We start from the raw sequence: 22,501 nt of genomic DNA, 5'->3' as shown, positions 1-22,501 counted from the left end.
GTTGATTTGTGAAGTTCTTCTGGCTTTTTCTCATGATCTGGGTCATTCACAAAAGGGCTTTTAAAAACTTTGAAGCCACAGAGACCTGTGTTCAAATTCTAGCTTTACTATGTACTATCTGTGCATCCTGGCCACTCTGCCTTAGTCGGATTTCTCATTCTCAGATTTCCCATCAGCCTGTTTTGCCTGTTCACATTGTGTGCCTGTTAAGACTGAGTTAGCGACTGTTCCATCAGGGTACTCTGAGAGCAATGTGACAATCAGGCTCCTTTCTGTCCTCTGCCAAGTCCACCAATTGGGAGAAAACTATTATAGGCCCCCAGGCCCCCAGCTTGCTGGTATAAACAAGAACAATGTCCCAATTCTTTTTTTGTTTTGTTTTGTTTTTTGTTTTGTTTTGTTTTGAGACCAAGTCTCACTCTGTTGCCCAGGCTGGAGTGCAGAGGCTCACTGCAGCCTCCGACTCCCAGGTTCAAGCGATTCTCCTGCCTCAGCCTCCTGAGTTGCTGGGATTACAGGCGCTCATCACCAAGTCTGGCTAATTTTTGTATTTTTAGTAGAGATGGGGTTTCGCCACATTGGCCAGGCTGGTCACGAATTCCTGACCTCAGATGATCCGCCTGCCTCAGCCTCCCAAAGTGCTAGGATTACAGGTGTGAGCCAGGGCGCCCAGCCTACAATGTCCCAGTTCTACTGCACCTGGGTGACTTGCAAGTGTTCTGGCAAAGGACCTATTGAAGGTGGTGGTCAATCCATGTTTTGGAGATATGAATGGGGCACACCTGTTTGCACTTGATCCAAGCAAATAATGATGCATGATGTACTTGGGCCACCTGTTCATCTCATCAGGAGCAAAAGTACCTGCCTAATGCAATTTGTTTGGCAGCCTCTCAACAGGGGATGCCAAGACTCCTTGAACATTAAGTATATTAATGTCCTCCTTTGGAGAACACGTTCATTTTTAACCAATGTTAGATTCTTCGGCAGCAAGTTCTGGCCAGGAAATCTGTCCCTGAAGTAGGGGAAAGGATCCAAGTGTTCAGCTGAGCGGCACCTCATGAATAATTTCAATTTCTTCTAAAAAGGAAAAAACAATAGAACTTCATCGCTTGTCGCATCAGTGACTGCATGCCGAGGCTGTTTGAACCAATCGTTCCAACCTGGCAGGGGGAGCACACCTCTGTCCAAAAGGATGGTCCTGAATGATTTATGACTGTGGGACATATACCCTAATGCTTGTCTTTAGAAACAAGGCTGGTGGGGAGAGAAGATCAAGATAGAAATCTGATTGTAAACTTCTAATTAAGGTATGTTTTATTTATGCTTATGAAGCCTAAAATATTAACGGAGGCAAGTGAATGCATAACTGATATGCCCCATAGAATATGTGTATTACAGTGCATGTACAGAAAGCTCCAAATGTCCTTCTGTCGAAGATGTAAGAAGAATCCTGCAGCTATTGGCAACTTTGGAGTGCTCAGCATTGCTGAAATTCTTGAAATCTCTGCATTCTGGCAGCTGGTATCCAAAGAATGTTGTTTTCAGTATTTTGTCTTTTGGATGAACATACCCTTCTTTGGAGGAGAAGATGAAGTTAAGAGAGATCTACTATTAGTGGAGTATCTAATATGTGATTAGGCAAGTATTTTTCCATGCTAATTTCATTTAACCCTCATGACAATATCAGTCCTATAATGAATCCTATTTTATTATGCATGAAGAACTAGGATGCAGAAAGGTAAAGTGACATTCCCAAGGTCATACAATGAGTGAATAAAAAAGCTGAAGTTCAAAACCTATTCTTTCTATACCACAGCAATAATTGTTGTGGGCAAGGTTCATTAATGAATGCTACAAGTAGTGGGTGACAAAAGAATGCGTGGATGTGAATCCTGGCCCATCATTCAGAGAAGGAGATTGTAAGCAAGCCACTTAATCACTCTGTGACTCAGTTTCCTCATCTGTAAAATTGGGATGATGATGGTACCTACCTCATGAGTGATAACATATAAAACCTTAGGCTGGGCATGGTGGCTCACACCTGGAATCCCAGCACTTTGGGAGGCCAACGCAGGTGGATCATTTGAGCCAAGGAGTTTGAGACCAGCCTGGGTAACATGGTGAAACCGTGTCTCTACAAAAAGATACATAAAACTACCTGGGCATGGTGGTGATGCATCTGTAGTCCCAGCTACTTGGGAGGCTGAGGTGGGAGGATCACCTGAGCCTGGGAGGTTGAGGCTGCAGTGAGCTATGATTGTGCCATTGCACTCCAGCCTGGGTGGCAGAGTGAGACTCTATCAAAAAACAAAAACAAACAAAACACCTTAGCACCTGATACGATATGATATCATATCAGCATATGAGCATATGATAAACTTTAGATATTGTTATTATGACTACTTTGTGCAAGAGACTGAGTTAGACATCAAACAGTCTGACAGACAAACATATAAATGAATTGTTGTACTACAGGGTAACAATAATTTTAAATTTATCAAAACTCACAGGAACACAAAGAACAAAGAGAAATTCTTCCCAGGGATATTAGAGATGCTTGATAACAGTGTTGATTTTAAAGGGTTTTGATAAGTAAGAGTTTGTTTGTCAAGTGGAGAAAGGGGGAAAGGCGTGCCAGGTGGGGGTTACAGCCTACACAAAAGCCTGAGGATGTGCCCTGGGGAGAGCAGGAATTTTAGCATAGTGGCAGCAGAGATTACACTGCTGGTCAGGGAGCAGGGAGGTAGTAAAGATGAAGGACTCTGTAGCCAACGCAGATGCAACACACCTCCCCTGCTCTCCGCCAATACCTCTTTGCACCCTCCCGATGCAGCAACATCAGAGTCTCCCCAAAAGTCCTGAGGTTACCTTTTGGCTTTTGCCTGTTTTTTGAAGAAGGCTTAGCTGCGTGGCACAGAATGAGCTATCTGACTTCTCTAAGCCATTTTTCAAGTAAAACCATCTACATCTCAGCCAGGCGTGGTGGCTCATGACTGTAATCCCGGCACTTTGGGAGGCCAAGGCAGGCAGATGACAAGGTCAGGAGATGGAGACCATCCTGGCTAACATGGTGAAACCCTGTCTCTACTAAAAATACAAAAATTAGCCGGGCGTGGTGGCGGGCGCCTGTAGTCTCAGCTACTTGGGAAGCTGAGGCAGGAGAATGGCGTGAACCCGGGAGGTGGAGCTTGCAGGGAGCCGAGATCGTGCCACTGCACTCCAGCCTGGGCAACAGAGCGAGACTCCGTCTCAAAAAAAAAAAAAATCATCTACATCTCTTCATCACCATCACCACATCACCGTCACAAACAGCCCAGGCCTCCAACATCTCGTTTAGGTGGTTCCAAAAGTCTCCCGACTGGACTCTGCACCCACTTGTATCCATGCCCAATTCCTTCTCTTCCACAATCACAGGGGTCTTGGCAACACACAATTTTCATCATTCCATCCAACTTTCTTAAAACCCTTCAATTATTTCCATTGTTTCCATAATAAAGGACATATTTGTGATTATGGCTTGGAAGACCGTGCACAATTTGGACCCTACCCACATGTCCAGTCTCACTTTAGACACCTCATCCCACTCCAGCCATTCTGATCTTCTCTTACTTCTTCCAACCTGCATGTTCCTTTGCACTACACGGTCATTGCCATTCCCTCTGCATGGAATGTCTCCTTGCCCCCAACCCCCACCCGTCCTCTAGTTAAGCTCTCCTCACCCTTCATAATTCAGCTCAAGTATCCTTTCCGTAGTGAAAACTTCTGACTCTTTATAACAAGCCCAAATCCCCTAGGATGGCCTCCAACACATGGGCCTCTCCTTAATAGCACTGATCACAATTAAAATTCCCCAGGGAGTATTTTGTTACTTCTGTTTCCACGAGAACATGAAACACATCTGGTGTTGTCAACCATTAAAATCCCAGCAACCGTCATAGTGCCTAACACACAGTAGAGATTCATAGATATGTGTTGAATAAATGAATGAATGAATGATGCATTTCTAGTCTCCCAACTCCTGCATCTGATGAGACATGATTTTTTCATTTGTTCATTTTAAAAAATGTGCATTGAGTGCCTACTATGTGCCAGACGTTGTCCTAAAGTGCTTTGTGTACATGGAAAGCAAAACAAAGATCCCTGCCCTTGGAAAGCTTACATTCTAGCAGGGGGAGACACACAGTTGACAATCACATCATAGGTAAATAAATCAATCACTTAGTAGTGGGATAAGTGCTGTAGAAGCAAGAAGAGGTGCAGCAGGATGTGGGTGATAAGCAGTGCCAGCCACAGAGGCAGTTTGCAATATGAAACAGGGTAGTGAGGTGGATTTCATTCAGAAGATGACATTTGCACAGCAACCTGAGGGAGGAAGGAGTGAGCCAAGTGGTACTTGGAGGAAGAGCATTCCAGACAGTCTGGCCAAGGTCTTACAGTGAAAGCATATCTGGTACGTTCGAGGAATAACAAGGAAGCCAGTGCGGTTGGAGCAGAGAAGATGAGTGGGAGAGACTGGGAAATGGGGTCAAGGTGAGAATGAGGTGCCAGATGTTGTAAGAAACTAGATTTTTACACTGAGTGAATCGGGGCAACATTAAAAGGTTTTATGCAAAGGAAAGATATTAAGGAAGATGTGATTTGACTTATGCTCAGGTTGCTGTGTTGAAAACAGACCACAAAGGGGAAGGCTGAGAAAGAAGGAGGGAAACCATTTGGGAGAATTTGTAGGAATGGATGGCAGATAATGGTGGATGAAAACACAGTGGGAGTGGTGGAAATAGTGAAAACTGGTTGGATTCTGGGTATGTTTCAAAGTAGAGCCAACAGCTGATAGACTGGATATGGGTAGAAAGAAACAGTGAAATCGAGAATGAGTCCAAGCAACTGGAATGACAGCTTACCATCAAAGATGGAAAGGATACAGGAAAGCAGGTATACAGTGGTATAGTTTGGGGCCCTCTGGTCTTGAGATGCCTGTCAGACATCCCAGGGGAGAGGCCAAGTAGGCTTTTCTGTCCATGAGTCTGTAAAAGGCATATTCTTCTTTTCTTTTTCTTCTTAGCGGTAACTTGTTTTCTTCTTATAAACACTTAGGAATACAAAGGGAGGAAATTTAAAATGCACCAGCAGGTTCATCTGGATGAGCCTTTTGAAAAGAGTATTAAGTCAGGTCATGCAACTCCCTGAAAAATGTATCTAATGGAAAGGCAAATGATGATGATGACAATGGTAATGATGATGATTATGAAGATAATGTAAAGCCAGAATATAAGGAACAAGCTCAGAGAGAGACAATAAAAAGGAGGAGAGGAAGGAATGGAAGGAAGGAAGGAAAAGGAAGGAAGGAAGGGAGGAAGGGAGGGAGGAATGAAGGAAGGTGGGGAGGAAGGGAGGGAGGGGAGGGAGGGAGGGAGGAATGAAGGAAGGTGGGGAGGAACGGAGAGAGGGAGGGAGGGAGGCAAACACCGTTTGTACGCATTCAAGTATTCAAGTTGCAAAGCGATTCTTTATCTTTAAGGAAAAAGTGGTCTCCTTGGGGTGGAGAAAGTAGAATAACAGCCAGATTAATGTATTGGGTTTGTCGGTTTCTCCAAGCCGAAGCGAGTGTTGATCAAGGAATGAATTCTATTAGAAATCCCAGAAGTTTCGTTAGAGTTGAGTTTACTTATCTGCCTTGGAGGCAACAGAATGCCCAAGGTTTTCCCTGAGGCCCAAAAATGCACAAGGGCCCTTAATGGGAGAACACAATGAGAAAAGAGAGGAGAAGGCAATCCCAGTTCTACAGAGCAGGTCTCATGGGCTCACCACGCAGTGCATAATGGGTATTATCTTAGCCAATCATCACAAAAACTCTGTGAAGTGGGAATCAACTCCTTCCTAATGAAAAAAGTAAGGCTTAGAGGTTCTGAGTGACTTCCCCAAGGTCACGTAGCACTAAGATGGGGAGGCTGGACAGAAACCCAATTCTTTTCTGAGTTCAACTTGAGGATTTTTTCATGGTGCCAGACAGGATCCCTTGAAGGGGACTTTGAGGTGCTAGTGAAATATCCTGATAATTAGGTATCAAGAGAGTAGTAGAATATACACCTGGCTTCCCTGGAAGCCTTTAGAATGGCTACAAATGGATGCTGATCCCGGCGCCAGCCTCAGCGACCAATAGACCTACCTTGTACAACTTTTTTTTTTTTTTTTTTTTTGAGATGGAGTCTTGCTCTGTTGCCCAAGGCTGGAGTGCAATGGTGCAATCTCTCAGCTCACTGCAACCTCCACCTCCCGGGTTCAAGCAATTCTCCTGCCTCAGTAGCTGGGACTACAGGCATGCACCAGCATGCCCAGCTAATCTTTTGTATTTTTAGTAGAGATGGGGTTTCGCCCTGTTGGCCAGGCTGGTCCGAACTCCTGAGCTCAGGTAATCTGCCCGCCTCAGCCTCCCAAAGTGCTGGGATTACAGGCACGAGTTACTGTGCCCAGCCCCTTGTACAACATTTGTATCAGGTTTTGGCTCACAAAGCTCCATTGTGAGGCCTTTCCACCCTGGACAGAGAGCTTTATCTTTGAAGACTTTATCTTTGAAGAATGATGTCTGCTTTGTCATGCCGTATTCCCAAGAACCATGTATATCTTAGGAGATAAATAAGATAAAAAGGAGTTAAGTGAATAAATGCAGCAAGATCCTGAATCACTAAATATTCTATTATATTCATTATAGCTGTAATACCGTGAAAACTTTGTTTTATTTTTAATATGCAATGCATGTATCCATGTTTTTTGGGCACCTGCTACATGCAGTGTGTTGGATAACACAGACTTGCTAATTGGCACAAACTTGGCCTCTGCCTTCGTGAAGCTCACATTCCAGAGAGGGAAAAAGAGATCAAATCACAAGCTGCATTGCTAATTATTCAATTATCATTCCAGGTGGGGAAAGTGCAACAAAGAGTCCACAATGCCGAGAAAGCCTATCACAGAGAAACATGTCCCGGGGCAGAGAGATCTGGGAAGGCTTCCATGTGAGGAGATAGTGACGCTGAGATAAAAAAGAAAAGTGCAAGGTTTTGTTATTTTAATTTAAAAATCAAAATCACCTAAGCTCTTTGATGTTCTGGCTCCTCAACCGTAGAGAAAAATAATGGCTGAGTTTGTGCTCACAATGTGGGAGGGGCACCCAGCCAGTGTTAGTTTCCTTTCCTCTCCCACACACATGTTCCCACCTAATTCCCAGGTTAGGAGTGGGTGCCACTTCCACTGCAGCATTCAGCAGAGACCTCTCCTTTTTTGCCTCCCTCCAAACTGTCTTCTTCCCATCACCAGACACTTCCCTTCCATCGGGAGAGCCATGCTTCAGAGAGGAGATGAATGGGGTTCCGTCTCCCCGCTAAGGGATTATCATCAATGTCACAGCCACAGCAGGGAAGCTAGACAGTGATAGCTCTGTGCTGTCATTTGCTTTCACTGAGCAGACAGTCGCCTGATGTATAATAGCCTTGAGCTAAGTTCACAGTGAAAGGAAGGCCTTGGAGGCTCGCAGGCCTGACTCCCACTTAGCTCCTCCACTGGGGCCATTCTTTCAGCTCTGCTTTACTGTTAGCCACAGTCTCCAGCAATGAGTCATTTTCTCTCAGATGCCTGGACTGATCATTCCTGGTGGATTCAATGGAAGAATCCAAGGTCAGCATGGAGAGATCTTTGCACTGGCTTGGAAATCAGACAGATGGAGTAAACTCCCAGCTCAGACCTGTGGCCTTGGGCAAGCTACTTCCCAGCTTATGACGCCATATTGGAAAATGGAATTTTACAGAAGCTACTTCCCAACTTATGATGCCATATTGGAAAATGGAATTTTACAGTAGCAGTGCTTACTTCCTGGGTTGTTCTAAGGACTGAATAACATAGTTGGTAAGGCGGGTAGCTCAATACTTGGGAAGCAGTTAACCAAATCATTGCACATGTACTGTCAGTTTGGAGTACATCCTTCTACATCATTTTCCTCTTCATTTACAAAAACATATACATATTTGTGTGTCTTTCCTCTTTTTCTTATATAAAAACTATGCATATATAATGCTGTATTATATAAAAATATACAATTATATATGCATATCTTTACATGTAGAATGTATTATTTCAGGGTTTTTTTTCTTTCATCATACAGTGGCAAAGAAGAACGTATTATTTTGTAAATTACTTTTGTTTACTCAAAAATATAATGCTTCTATTTCACTCAAAGAGGTCTTCCACATGCTTACACACAAGCTCATATATAAGCTTATGCACATATACGAATATCTTCTTTATCCTTTCTAACTGCTACCTAGTAGTCCACAAATTGGAACCCCATAAAAGGTTGATGGACATTTAGTTTGCTCCCGATTTTTCACTCCTGTAAACTGTGTAGCTACTAGCATCTTCATACATGTTTTCTTATGCATATGTGTGAGGATTTCTCCAGCACAGGTGTCATTTCTAAACAAAGAGACATGAGACAAGGACTTGGACCCCTCTTCCCACATTTGGGTGTGGACCATATTTGTTCTTAGCATATGGAAAACTGAATCAGATAAAATTGTGATTACAATTTCCCTTTTTCTCACTTCCCAACATTATTTGTTATTATTATTACAGTATTTGCACAATTTGTATATTGCATTACAAATTCCTTGTAGCCTAATAATACATAAACATTTATTTTAAAATAATTGTATTTTTAAATTTTTGTATTCTGACATAGTTATAGGTTAATGGGAAATAACCAAATATAGATAGATGTTAACAGATAGATAAACAGTTAGACAGATAGATGATATAGATAGATAGATAGATAGATAGACAGATAGACAGATGATAGATAGTCAGATGATGATAGACAGATAGATAGATAGATAGATAGATAGATAGATAGATAGATAGATAGCTGGGCACAGTGGCTCACGCCTGTAATCCCAGCACTTTGGGAGGCTTAGGCCAATGGATCACAAGGTCAGGAGTTCAAGACCAGCCTGGCCAAGATGGTGAAACCCCGTCTCTACTAAAAATACAAAAATTAGCCAGGTGTGGTGGTGGGCACCTGTAATCCCAGCTACTCAGGAGGCTGAGGCAAAAGAATTGCTTGAACCCAGGAGGCAGAGGTTGCAGCGAGCCAAGATTGCACCACTGCACTCCAGCCTGGGCGATAGAGCAAGACTCCGTCTCAAAAAAAGAGAAAAAGGAAAAGAAAAACAGTCAGACAGATAGATGACAGATAGATTGACACATAGATAGATAGATAGATAGATAGATAGATAGATAGATAGATAGATAGACAGACAGACAGACAGATAGATATCCAGGCATCCTTCGCCTAGTTTCTCCCACAAGCATCTTGCATAAACTTAGCACAATTCTTAGCCAAGAAACTGACATTGATGCAATCCACAGAGCCTATACAGGTTTCGCCTATTTTATATGCACTCATTTGCATGTGTTCCTGTGTTTCTGTGTAATTTCATCACGTGTGTAGATTTGCTTAATGACGACTACAATCGAAACCCAGCATTGCTTCTTCACCACAAGTCTCCCTAGTGTTCTCCCTCTATAGCTGCCTGTGATCCCCGCCCCCTGCCAATCCCCAATCTGTTTTCCACCTCTATAATTTTATTTCAAGAATATTATATAAATGGAGCCATACAATATGGAACCTTTTGAGACTGGCTTTTTTTCACTCAACTTTATCCTCTAGTGATCCATTTAATTTGCTGAGCATTTCCACAGTTCCTTCGTTTTTATTGTGGAGTAATATTCCATGCTATGGATGTACCACAGTCCGTTAGTCACCCAGTCATTCATTCATTGACGAACACTTGAGTTGTTTCCGGTTTGGGAATATCATAAATAAAGCTTCTAGGAACACTGGTGGACAGGCTTTTCTATACACCTAAGTTCTTATTTCTATGTAACAATTGCTTATGTTACACTGGCAGGGTTCTATGGTGAGCATATGTTTCATTTATAAGAAAGTGCCAAGCTATTTTCCAATCCATTTTGCATTCCCATTGGCAACATATGAGCCATCCAGTTTCTCTGCATCCTTACCAGCATTTGATGTTATCACTATTTTTTATTTTAGCCATTCTGACAAGTGTGTAGTGAAATATCATTATGGTTTTAATTTGCATTTTCCCACTGTCTTATGATGTTAGCATTTTGTCATGTGCTTATATGCCATCTGTACATCCTCTTAGGTGAAATATCTCTGCATGTCTTTTGCCTATTTTTTAATTGGAGTTTTTGTTTCTTTACTGTTGAGTTTCAAGAGGTCTTAACAAGTTTATCTTTTTAACTTTCATTTTGGAATGCCAGATGCACCAAATAAGAATTCTGATCAGAAGGACACTGTCTATGGAAATGGGGAAGGACTATCTTGAGCCTCTTTTGAACAATTATCATGCTTCTCTGTGATGTGTAGTTCAACTTCAGGATTCCTTTTCTACCCAATTTTAAACCAACAGTCCATTGTGGGTATGCCTTTGAAAATATGTGATTGAGAAAAAAATAATTTTAAATGACAATAATCAAAAACTCTCTAGCAGCCAGCAGTGTGCTGCTGAGTGATCCATCACCCGGGACTGAGCTATGAGTACTCCCATCTGATCACTCAGTGGGCTCTCATACATCTTTCTTTTATAAAAAGAAAGAAAAGTATGTATTATTTTTACATATTGCCAAGGAATGTAATTAGTTATGGGCAGAATGTAGGTTCTGGAGTCAGACCGCTTAGGATAAAATCCCAGCCGCATCACCTAGTAGTGGTAGTAGAGCTACTTGGTATGGTTTTGCAGGTTTTGCACTGCATACATTTCCCTCCCACCATTTAAGGAGATGAGTTGGAGCTGAAATACAGATTGCCTTGTATTTGCTAAGCTATGCAAGCCAATCTGGAGGAAGGGGCTGCTTCTTCCTTGTATAACTATGAAAACCACTTGCCAAGTTGTATGCTGGTATAGCTGTATCTGCCAGAAAGGGCATCTTGTTCTAATTCAAAAGGGGACACCAGTTTCAATTTGCACACAGGCTCTTACAGGCTAGCAGGGGCCCTATGCTGTGTCACCTTGGTCAAGTTGCTTAACCTCTCTGGGCCTCAGCTTTCTTATCCTTGAAATGGGGAAAACAATCGCATCTATCTCAAAGAATTGCTGCAAGGATTAATAGGGTTAATTCCTATAAAAGGCTAGACCTAGCATCTGGCATATGATAAATGCTCAATAAATGTCATTGTTGTTACTACTACTATCTTTTAGTGATGTGGATGGACGGGCTTACTCACACAAACCAGTATGCAAGCCAACAGTTGGAAAATGATAGTTCAGTATATTGCACAAGATCAGGACAATACAGCTTTTTATTAAAACTGCAGCACTTCTGACTTACAGTCATAAAATGCTTCAAGGAACAGAATGCTCTCCTGATCTTGGGGCTGGGGAGATGAATCAATGTGGAGAGGCTGACAGAGTGTCCTTTATCCTGGAGCCAAGCCAGGCTGGCTTTAACATTCTGGGTCAGACACCGAGCCGCAGGCTCTCTCCTGCCAGCCTGATGTGATTCTTCTTCAAACAGTTTATTTATTTTTTTCTATTTCTTGCAAGATGTAGGATTTCCATTTCTTTTCCTTGAGAAAAATCCCATCTGTTCTCTGCCAATATTTTCTCTCTCAGAATAATAGTCTGAATATCTGAAAAGTTCTTCATGAGCTGACTTGCCCATTGTTTTCTTAAGTCCAGAGGGGGGAAAAATCATGTGGAAAGCGTATTAAACATGCAGATTCTTGGACCCTGACCCTGGAAATTCTGATATAGTAAATCTGGAGTGAAGCTCATGCATTCTTCCTTTTAACCAGCACTTTCAGGTGTTTCTAATGTTTAGTTGGCCTTGTCCAACCCCTTTAAGACTCAGAGGGCTGTGATCAGCTCCAGGTCACACAGTAATGCAAAGCAGAGCTGAGATTAGAACACAGACTTCTGTGTGGTGTTATTTCTCAGCACGGTGCAGCTCCCCCTAATGCTTTCTCTTCCCTCACCAGGCTTTTCCCCCCGTAGTGACCTTAGGGGCCTTAACTGGATGATCTTGGATGACCTTGAATGCTGCAAGGTCCACTCCTTCACCCCCAACCCAAAGTAAAACTCACAGGCTCAGGGTCGATTCCTTAAAGGACATAACTTCTGGATTAAATGGTAAGATGTTCAACAATTCCTACCTGCAAAATCCCCAAAAGGGAAAAATGTTTGAGCCTATCTGGGGCACAGCAAAGAGCATGGGGCAAAATGGAGTATCTTCACCCTTACAGACAGCACTGGGAGGTGAAGGAATTCTGGGGAATGGCATGAAAGGGAGTATCTGGGAGTCTTATCCAGTGAACAACCCATTAGCCCATTCAGTTACTTCATGAAACATCTTACGCATGAAATATTAACTGAAGATGGACTGGTTAGCAGTTACCGTGGTAAGACCTGGTTAGGACCAAATTTGGCTAAAGGAAAAAAAAAAAAGAAATGCAATCACTTTTGGGCAGACTGCAAAACCTTTCTTAAAGATAAATAAAACATTCAACCTTGAAAATGCACATGCAAATTGTACATAGATATAGACACACTTGTGTGGACAAAACCAAACACACATACATCTGCACACCAAGTGGGCACACATTCATACACAAACAAGCAGATATGCACTACCACATTAACAAGTACACACGCACATGGGCACACAGACACACATACACAACCACAAGTGCAATTACCTACATACCATATATCCACAAAAGTGCTTAAAATGTACCATATTACACTGAATTATTATTCCAGTCACTGGATTGTGAGTTCTTGAGGTTGGGAAACAGTGACTTACTCACCTTGGTAGCCCCAGGGCTCAGTACGGGGACTGGAATAGAATAGACATTCAGCAAAGTTGTGTTAAACTTTACTGAGTACAGGCTCACACAGTTGGACCTGAGCTAAAACCGTCCTCCCATGGATACAGATGTGAGTTCAGAGGTTTTTTCATTGCATCAGCAGAAATCAGGCCTAACTGTGGATGTAAATATCAAGGCAAAATCAAATTGCCTTACTTGCATTCCTATTTGAGAAAGCAGCAAAAATGCTCCCAGGGCTCCAAAATTGATGGCTACAAAAAAGGGGGAGCCCAGAAGAGCTAATGAGCCTGCACCCCACGTGGGGGCCCACTCCAGCCATTGAGGCTCAGAACCCTAGCCAACAAGCACTGATCACCCCCACAGGTGGGTCCCCACTCCCCGCCAAGATTTCCCAAACATGCTTTATTTGTCTAAAATCAGCCCTTTCTGGTCTGTACATGAGAGAAAAACTTTAGTTCTTCTATTTGTCTTTTGCGACGACTATAACACATTACTACAGACTGGGTGGCTTAAAACAACAGGAAATTTGTCTCCTCATAGTCCTGGAAGCCAGAATTGAGGTGTTGGCAAGGCCACACTTCCTCCAGGGGCTCTAGGGAATAATCCATTCTTTACCTTTTCTGGCTTCTGGAAGCCGTCAGAGTTCCTTGGCTTGTGGCTACATTACTCCAATCTCTGCCTCCGTGGTCACATGATCTCTTTCTGTGTGTCTAATCTCCCTCTGCCTCACTCTTACAAGGACACCGATTATTAGATTTAGGTACCACCCAGAAAATTCAGGATACTATGGTTTGAACATGTCCCCCAAAGTTCATGTGTTGGAAACTCAATCCCCAATGCAGCAGTGTTGAGAAAGAGGACGTTTAAGAGATGATGAGTTTATGAGGGCTCTGTCCTCATGGATGAATTAATGCAATTATCACAGGAGTGAGTTAGTTATTATCAAGAAAGTGGGTTCCTAATAAAAAGGATGAGTTCAGTTCTCTTTCCTTTCTCTCTCTGTCTGTCTCTCATACTCTCTTGCTCTTCTTCTTTTTGCCATGGGATAACACAGCAAAAATAACCTCAGCAGATGTGGGCCTCTCAACTTCGGACTTTGAGAAGTCTGAGAACTGTAAGAAATAAATCTCTATTCCTTATAAATTACCCAGTCTCAAGTATTCTGTTATATCATCACAAAATGGTCTAGGATGCAGAATAAACTCCCTCTCACAATCCTGAATTGCACGACATCTGCAAAGACACTTTTTTTCAAATAAAGTCCTATTCAGGGGTTCCAGATTCAAGGAATTAGCTCATGGACATATTTGGAAGGGGAGCAGGGGAACCCCAGTCAGCCCACTACAGTATCTACAATCACAAAGCTGGTAAAATAACAGGAAAATTTTCTCAACTTCAACTTTTTGAGCAGAGGTTTATCTAAACTGACAGGTGAGTTAAGACCGTTCTTAAGAAAACACAATTTATTTTTATGGACTGACTTGCCTCATTTAGAACTATCTTAGACAATACTGATTGATTACAAAGCTTCTTACACCAGAAATGTTTCAGTATTAAAAAAAGAATATACTTTCACGCCCACTACAGTCCTGAACAGAAAGTGTGCACAAGTGATTTTTTTCCCCTCTCTATGTTCAACCAGAGAATGGCAGAGTGACTATCTCTCACTCCCTTCCAGAGAGAGCTGGTTCTCCATTGGCCAACAAGCTTTGGTAAACCTCAATTTGAGTACAGCTCAGTCTATTTGTTCATTTCACTATAGATGTAACTTCTGCCACTATCGCTCCTCTGGTGAACACTTTTGACTCGAAATGGCTGAAGATGCCACAAATGAGTCTGGGAAGAGTATTACACTGAAGGTTACAACGTAAATTTTACAGTGGCCTAAGGCAAGTGGATGTCTTCAAAGAAATAAAGTCCAGGAAAGAGGGTACAGATGGGCAGTTCTTAGAATTCAGTGGAGACCTTTTGGAATTATAATTAGCTTCTAGGCATCACTCACCCCAAAGGATGTGGCCAACTGGCTCTGCATGACCCGTGGCTGTAGGATCCTGGCCCAAAGCTCTGCATATCTTGGAGAGTCTGAGGAGGACCAACAGGGATAATATCACTTTCACAGAGACTATGGAATGACCTAGGAAGTGCAAAGAAAGAGAGAGAAAGAACAGGAGAGAGGAAGGGAGAGGGGTTTCCAAGATCCCCACCCTAGAGATCTTTTTCCAGTTGATCTGGGATGGTACCTGGAAGCTTTGTATTAAAAAAAATTTTTTTAACTCCGTTACTCAGGTACTTTGACCCAGAGCCAAGCTCAGGAGCCACTGCCTCATAGAGCCACTGCCTCATAGAACCTACTTTAATGAACAGACAAAAGTTGTTGGCACTAAGCATTGATTTTCTGTCACTCAAATTTCTTAACGGCAAAGATCAAGTCCTCTTCATACTTGAAGTCTTCATTGACTGGCGCAGTGACTTCCATGTAACAAGAGTCTATAAAGTATGTTGAAATTGTAACATTAGGAATATGCGTTCCAATATGTTTGTTGAATAATTTCCTGAGTGACTTGGCCAACTCCTCAATCTGCTATATAGAGAATCAGGAACAGCAGTGGTTGGGGAGGAAGAATCCGGAGTTGAGCAGTTTTGGTCAAATCCTCACTCTGACAGTTACTCTGTGACTTTGGACAAGTTGTTTTACCTCTCTAGGCCTCAGTTTCCTCATCTGTTAAATGGGAATAATAATAATACCTGTCTTTTAGTGTTGTGAAGAATACATATACGTGACCCAGTGTTTTGCACCTAGTAAGCACTCAATAAATGTTAGCTGTTACCAATAGAATTATTACTAATTTGAATACATTAAAACATGCCAGTGATCTACATTGCTCTCCATTGTCCTTATGGTTAGGCAAAAGAAAAGTGCCTTGGCCTCGCATAGCAGACCCTCTCAAGAGATTTTAGACACATTGTCCCTCACCACTAACCTTCTGGTAATATTGAATTGCTAATGGTTCCCCACATTTAGTGTGCCCCTTTTTGCCTCGAAACTGTACATAATATTAATCCTTCTGTTCCCACTCTCTCCCTATTTCTCTCTGTCGGTGATCTTCTACTGAACTTTAAAATGGCAATTCAGATGCTCCTCTCCTCCAAGAAGCCTTATGTCCCTGCTAGTTCTTCCTCCCTTCCTCCATAGAATCAATAGTCCTCTCCCTTATTATAGCTCCATATTTTGTCTTCACTTGCATTTTTAAACATACTACATTGTGTTGAAATTTATCATATTTTATTTAAAAATGAATAACCCATCCTGTCAACATAGGTTCTGAATTTGTGGGTTTTGAACACATGCACTTTTACAGTATGTGTTTGTATCAGTTAGCTATTGCTGTGTAACAAGCCATCCTGAACTCAGTAATTTAAAATAACAATCATTTATTCTCACTCATGTTTCTGTTAGGTTGGATGGGAGTTAGCTAAGCTCAGCCGAGCAGCTTGTATTCCAGCCTGGGACCAGCTGGGCTTGGCTGCTCACTGTAGGTTTGGTGCAAATCTGCTCCAGGTGTGTCCATTCTGGAGCCCAAGTGGAAGGTCCAGCAGTGACTGAAAGGAAGCGCCTCTTCCAAATGCATTTCAAGCTTCTCTGCTTACATCATTACGGCTACGATCTCATTGGCCAAGCCACATGCTGAGTCCAAAGTCAAGAAGCAGAAAAGTGCACATAGCCTATCATGATGTCAGCAAGCCACATGGTCAAACTCAACATTGGTCCCATCAGTCTAGTGAGCAGCGAGCATGAAGGTGGGAGGGAGAGAGTGGATACTTTTAAGCAGTAATTGATCCACCATGATAATTCTCAAATCTTTCTATGATTCATTTTGCTTGTCAAGTGTGTTAGTCTGTATTTACACACCTGCATTTCCATGCTCAAATAGCCTTAATAATGAATGCATTGTAATGATATTCTGAACTCTAACAGGGAATTAAATTTTCCCTTTTCAGTCCCTATTACATTTGTGGGTGTATATGAAATTATTTAGCACTCTGTATTGTAATTCTCCATGTGTGTCTCTTTCAATAGTGTAACATTACTTAATGGTGTGACAGATACTATGGTTATCTGACCTAGCACTCATTCTCATCCCCTTCTTTTCTGCTCATTTACACTATAAACGACACAGATGACAAATGTTCTCCCCCGCAGCTTCCATTGCAGCTAGGAGTGACCACATAACACAGCTCAGCTACTGAGGCACAAGCAGAAATCTACAAAGAGGTCTCAAGAAAGTCTTTTCTCTCTTAACAAAACAGTATTCCTCCATTGGCCCTACCCCTTCTCTCCTTCTTCTTACCTTTAACGTGGATGTGATTAGGTTGACAAGCATGAAAGAAATACAGAGAGAACCATGAAAATGCTGGTTGACATCTTTGGTCCACCGAACCAACACCAGTATCTGCCTATCAAGACTTCATGTAGTAAGATTTTCCATGAGGTATAGCCAGAGACACTCCCAACTGTGCAATTCGCTAGGACAGGGGTTGACACAAACTACAGTGAACAGGACAAATCTAGCCTACCACCTGCTTTTATAAATCAAGTTTTACTGAAATACAGCCATGCTCATTTCTTTATTGTTTAAGGCTGCTTTTCTCCTGCAATGGCAGAGTGAAGTAGTTGTAACAGAAAACTTTGGGTACACAAAGCCTACAATATTTGCTCTCTGACCCTTTATAGAAAGTTTGCCAACCTCCTAAGACAAATGTTGCACCTTATTTCTGTTTTTCATCCCTCAATGTCTAGCACAGGGCTGGTATACCATAGACAAGCAATAGTTGTTTGATATAATAGCAATAGCATTAGATGTCATTTATTGAGCACTAACTCTTTGTTAGGAGCCATGCTAAACACTTCTCATTTTTTATCTTATTTCGTCTTCACAACATCCAGGTTGACTGAAATGACTGCTTTCCCCACTCTACAAAGGTGGAGACTAAGGCTTAGAATTGTTAAATAATTCGCCCAAGGTCATAAAGCCAGTGAAGGGCAGAGCCAGCCCTCCAATGCAGATTTGGCAGACTTCGAAGAAAATGCTCTTAACCTCCAGGCTCTTTGCCCTCCCAGCTGTCCAGCTGAATTTGATCAGAGACCATCTTTCATGAGGGAGGACGGTGGCTTTTGTCCTCTTCCTCACACCGCCCTTTGTAGGCCAGGTTTATGAACAATCTTTTTTTCCTTGGGAGACTTCATCATACCTGACTGGAAAAAAGAACCTCTCGGCAAAACAATGACTCTAAATCACTGAAACGGGGGATTTTACAACCACCAAATAAACAGAAGATGTTGTAAATTTTCCCTTGTGTGCTAGCCAAGTAGTTACGCATCTGTCAGGTCTTCTCAGTGGTCATTCTTTCCCTCTGCCTACACCAAGACATGCTCAGACAAAGAGAACTGTGCATCTTGCCTATCAACTACCCCTAAACTTGAGATAGGTATCTTGCCTTATCTTCTGTTGTTGAAAAATATCTTTCTTGCTCATTGTCAATGCCCTCCCAGAACAACTTAGCTTTTAGAAAAAGACAAACATGTCCCCTTGTGCATCTCAGAGTCCTCCTGCCCAGATGTTCAAAGTGATTGTACACAAATCATTCAGCTGTCTCTGAGGGTGGGATCAGAAAGAGCTGGGTGGGCATTGATCACACCAGAGTCTCTTCAACAGCTTGATTCAAGGGTCTTGCCAGAAGACGAGGGACACTTTCAGATTGAGTTAAACATAGTTGGTGGAAATCCCATGGATTTCTCTTAGTAGAAAATCAGTCTGTGATTTAACTTGAACTTTTTTTTTTTTTTTTTTGAGACGGAGTTTCACGCTTATTGCTTAGACATGAGTACAATGGAGTGATCTTGGATCACTGCAACCTCCACCTCCTCGTTAACTGGAACTTCTGTTCAATTCATCAATGAGCACATTCTAGAGAAGAGGGAAATAATTAACACTCATTGAGTGCCTACTAAACACCCCAAACACTACGTGCTTCATGCCATGGTAGAATATTTTATGCACCATGTGTCAGCCCTCTTCTAGGTACTGTGCACATACTATCTCATTTAACTCTAACAGCGATCTTGTAGAGTAGGTGCCATTTTTTATATGAGAAAAAATGGGGCATAGACAGTGTATCAGTTATCTATTCCGAGTAACAAACACCCCCAGACTATAGTGGCTCAAAACAAATCAAGCATTTCCCCATTTCCCACCCCAGCCTCCTAGCCTCTGGCAATCACTGTTCCTCTCTCTAAGGGCACAAATTTCAGTTAGACAGGAGGAATACGTTTTAAAGATCTATTGCACAACATGGTGACTATAGTTAATAATAATGTATTGTATATTTCAAAATTGTGAAAAGAGTAGATTTAAAATGTTCTCACCACAAAAAAAATGGATAAGTATGAGGTGGTGGATATGTTAATTAGCTTAAGTATTCCATAATGTATACACATATCAAAATATCACATTATACCCCATAAATATATACAATTACTTTTTGTCAATTAAAATAACATTTTAAAGAATCAAGCATTTATTTAACTCATGATTCTGTGAATCCATTGAGGGTTTTTCCTGATCTGGGGCCAGCTCAGCTGATCTCAGTCAGGCTCTCTCATGCAACTGTGTTCAGCTTGTGGATAGGCTGTTGGCTCAAGGACAAGACACCTGTCTCTCTCCACCTCCAGCCAGCTCACCTGAGCTTCTTCACATGGCAGTAGGGTCCCAAAGCAGCAAGGGGACAAGTGCACAGCACCTCTCCAGTCTCCATTGCATCACATTTGCCATTGTCCCATTGGCAAAGCAAGTCACATGACTCATTCCATAGACATTGCAGAAAAGTACTTTCCAGGAGTGTGGGCAGAGAGAAGTCTGGATGTATTGAGGCCATTACTGCAGCAATCCACCACAGAGAAGTGATGTCACCTCTCTAAGATCCCACGGCTAATAAGTGGTGGGGGTAGAATTTCAACCCAGATAGTCTGACTCCAGAACCCACATCTGTAAGGACTGTGTTACTCAAAAATACACGATTTCATTCCATTCTTAGATACCTTGGAGAGAAGGTATTACTAGCCCTATTTTAGATTTAAAACACAAAAAGCAGAGACTCAGTATTGTTAGATAATCTGCCTGAGATCATAAGGCAAGAAAACAGGAAACATCTGACTCACTTTTATAAGTTATTGTTTCCTTCCATTTTTACACATACACACGTCCACAAACACACTGCATCTGGCCCTGGGTGAGGGTCATCTTCAGAACCAAACAGTTTAAATACCCACAGTGAAAGTCACCTATTAAATCTTGGATCACATTATATCAAAGTACTATATCTTACTCCTACTCACTTGACATTACGGCTACTTGGGTTTTTAGACGAAAATTATGCAAGGTATCTTTAGATGATGTAACTTATGAGTATTTCCTCATGCCATTTTGTATCCTCCAAATTAATATTATTTGTTCTTACGATGGCCCCATGATGAATTTACTCATTCCCCTATGGCCAAAAAATTTACTCATTCTCCTATGGTCAAAAAATTTACTTATTCCCCTATGGTCAACCTTTTGCTATTACAAATGACCCTGTGATTAATATTCCCTATATAAAACTGTATCACCCATTTGTGACCATATTCCCAGCAGTGGCATCATTGGGTCATAAGCATGAACATTTCAAGTCTCTTGATACACACTGCAAATTGTCCCTCCAGAAAAGATGTACCAGTGCTTGCATACCAGCTACCCATGAAAGTGAGACTCCTTGTATCTCAGCCTCACCAGGACTGAGTATTAACAAGCATGGATGGGTCCATTGGATTATTCCCCATGTGTAACGGGATCAGGCTCTGATAGACTGACTGCATCCATTTGCACACCATAAGAGCCTTCCCACAGGGCCCTAATACTCAAAGTCCATCAACAAAGACACACTCTACCCTGAATTAGCAGTGCTACAATTTATTATCTCTCGGACACTCTTTATTTCACATGTTTCTTCCTGACCAGTGCTTCTTTTTATAGACCACATTGTCTTTAGCTATGAACAACTACAACTAAGTCTCTCTCAGCCTAGGAACTTGAGCTCATTTGTTTTTTCTATCTTAACCCTGACCCATTGTGTATTAATTTCATGGTTTGCTGACTCTTTTCTAATATCCAGGCTAGTTGTTGGGAGGGGTGAGAAAGTCACCTTGTTTTCATCACCACGTACTGTCTACAACACACGTGTTCCCATTTGATCCTCATCTGAGCCATATAAAGTGGACAAAGACAGAGAGGAGAACTAAAACTCACTGAGGTTAAATGGTTCTTAGTAGTTCAGAGCTACTAGTGAGCAATGCCAGAACTTGAGCCTCGCATTGTTCTTTCTACGTGATCTTGCAAGGGGAAGAAATTGGGCCCAAAGCCACCAATTTAAAAGCTCATGTAATCAATAAGTCATGAGGTCCTGGGGATTTGAGTGAGGGATACAATTACAAGAAAGAAGAGGAAGGGATTGAATCTAAAAGTCTTGTGAAAGAAGAATGCCCACTAGGAGAAGCCTACCTGTTTTTGGAAAATGTATTTCAAATGGAAAGTGAAATCAAAATACAGAAGAAAGGAGAAAATGAAGAGTGATAAGTGTCTTCAAATTTCCAGATCCAGTTGTCCCTAAAGCCAATTACTCTACCTCTGCTATCCCTAGTCACTTAAGCTAAGAAAGCCCCCATTGCTTTGCCTATGCTGGCTGGAGTGGAGTTTCTGCCACTTGCAACAGAGAGGGCTAAGTTGTGCATCCACACCACCACTCCAGAGCCATATACAGAAATGCATGCAGGAAAAAAAAATGGCAATCTTTGAACTGGAGTTAACTGCATTAGTATCCAAGACCTTACCATCAGCTCAATCTGCTCTCCTTCCATCTCCCAACTGAGGCCTCTCATATTTACTGATAAGAACTTTCTAATCTTCTCCAGTCTTCCTGGCTCACCAAATATCAAAATCTCCAAGCCAGAGTTTTAGTTCTTGGGAGCTCTACAAATTTGCTCTCTTGGGATGCAGGAGCAAAGGTTGAGGCTGTGAAGGGCTTTAATCAATAGTGCATGAGCCTGAAGAACAGGCAGGAATCAATAATATATTTCCACTATCAACATTTTTATCCTCAAAACAACAGCATGAAAACATGCATGCCAAATGGTAATTGAAAAAGTCAATTTAAAAAGTTATTATTCTCTTTCTTGGTCTTTATTAAAAGGCATAATGAATAGGCTTACCATAAGGAGATGAGATATACTCAATTAGGAAAAAAATAGAAAATACAGTATTTTATAGTGATGGGGTTTGCCCCAACTTTTGCAAAGAGAGTGATTTGCAGTTTTTAGGATGAGTCTGTGGAATGATGCGTGATAAGTAAGAAAAAGGAGGAGAGGTTATATTCAGAGCTCAGAACACAATGAACTTCTGAGTTTATACAATGAGAAATTCCTCTGTTAACTTATACAATACAGTAAATTTCTTAGTCCATGCTACATAGTAGGCTTACAGTGAATGTATATGCCAGTTGGTTAGATGG

General features: G+C 41.8%; 1 long non-coding RNA gene across 2 annotated transcripts in view, besides 1 other annotated feature; it reads right to left on the bottom strand.

Moving 5' to 3' along the window:
- Positions 977 to 1,730: an enhancer, noted in NCBI's record as "OCT4-NANOG-H3K27ac-H3K4me1 hESC enhancer chr16:9621809-9622562 (GRCh37/hg19 assembly coordinates)". NCBI's record gives its function as "activates a minimal SCP1, AML or CMV promoter by ChIP-STARR-seq in primed H9 embryonic stem cells {active_cell/tissue: H9 hESC(primed)}" and the evidence as "EXISTENCE:reporter gene assay evidence [ECO:0000049][PMID:30033119]".
- The window catches only part of LOC101927026 (uncharacterized), a 51,795-nt gene continuing 40,650 nt past the window's right edge, over positions 11,357 to 22,501 (bottom strand). The window contains exons 4-6 of one of the 2 annotated variants that reach the window (NR_188389.1): positions 14,904 to 14,983; positions 12,429 to 12,499; positions 11,357 to 12,226 (exon numbers count right to left, since the gene is read on the bottom strand). This is a non-coding gene — a long non-coding RNA (uncharacterized LOC101927026). The remainder of the gene's footprint in view (positions 12,227 to 12,428; positions 12,500 to 14,903; positions 14,984 to 22,501) is intronic. The other variant, NR_188390.1, reaches the window with a different exon arrangement.

This window comes from Homo sapiens, chromosome 16 (genome assembly GCF_000001405.40).
Source record: "Homo sapiens chromosome 16, GRCh38.p14 Primary Assembly".
NCBI classification, from domain to species: domain Eukaryota; kingdom Metazoa; phylum Chordata; class Mammalia; order Primates; family Hominidae; genus Homo; species Homo sapiens.
Note: the sequence above shows the minus strand (reverse complement) of the source record. Positions and strands in the feature narration are given on the sequence as shown.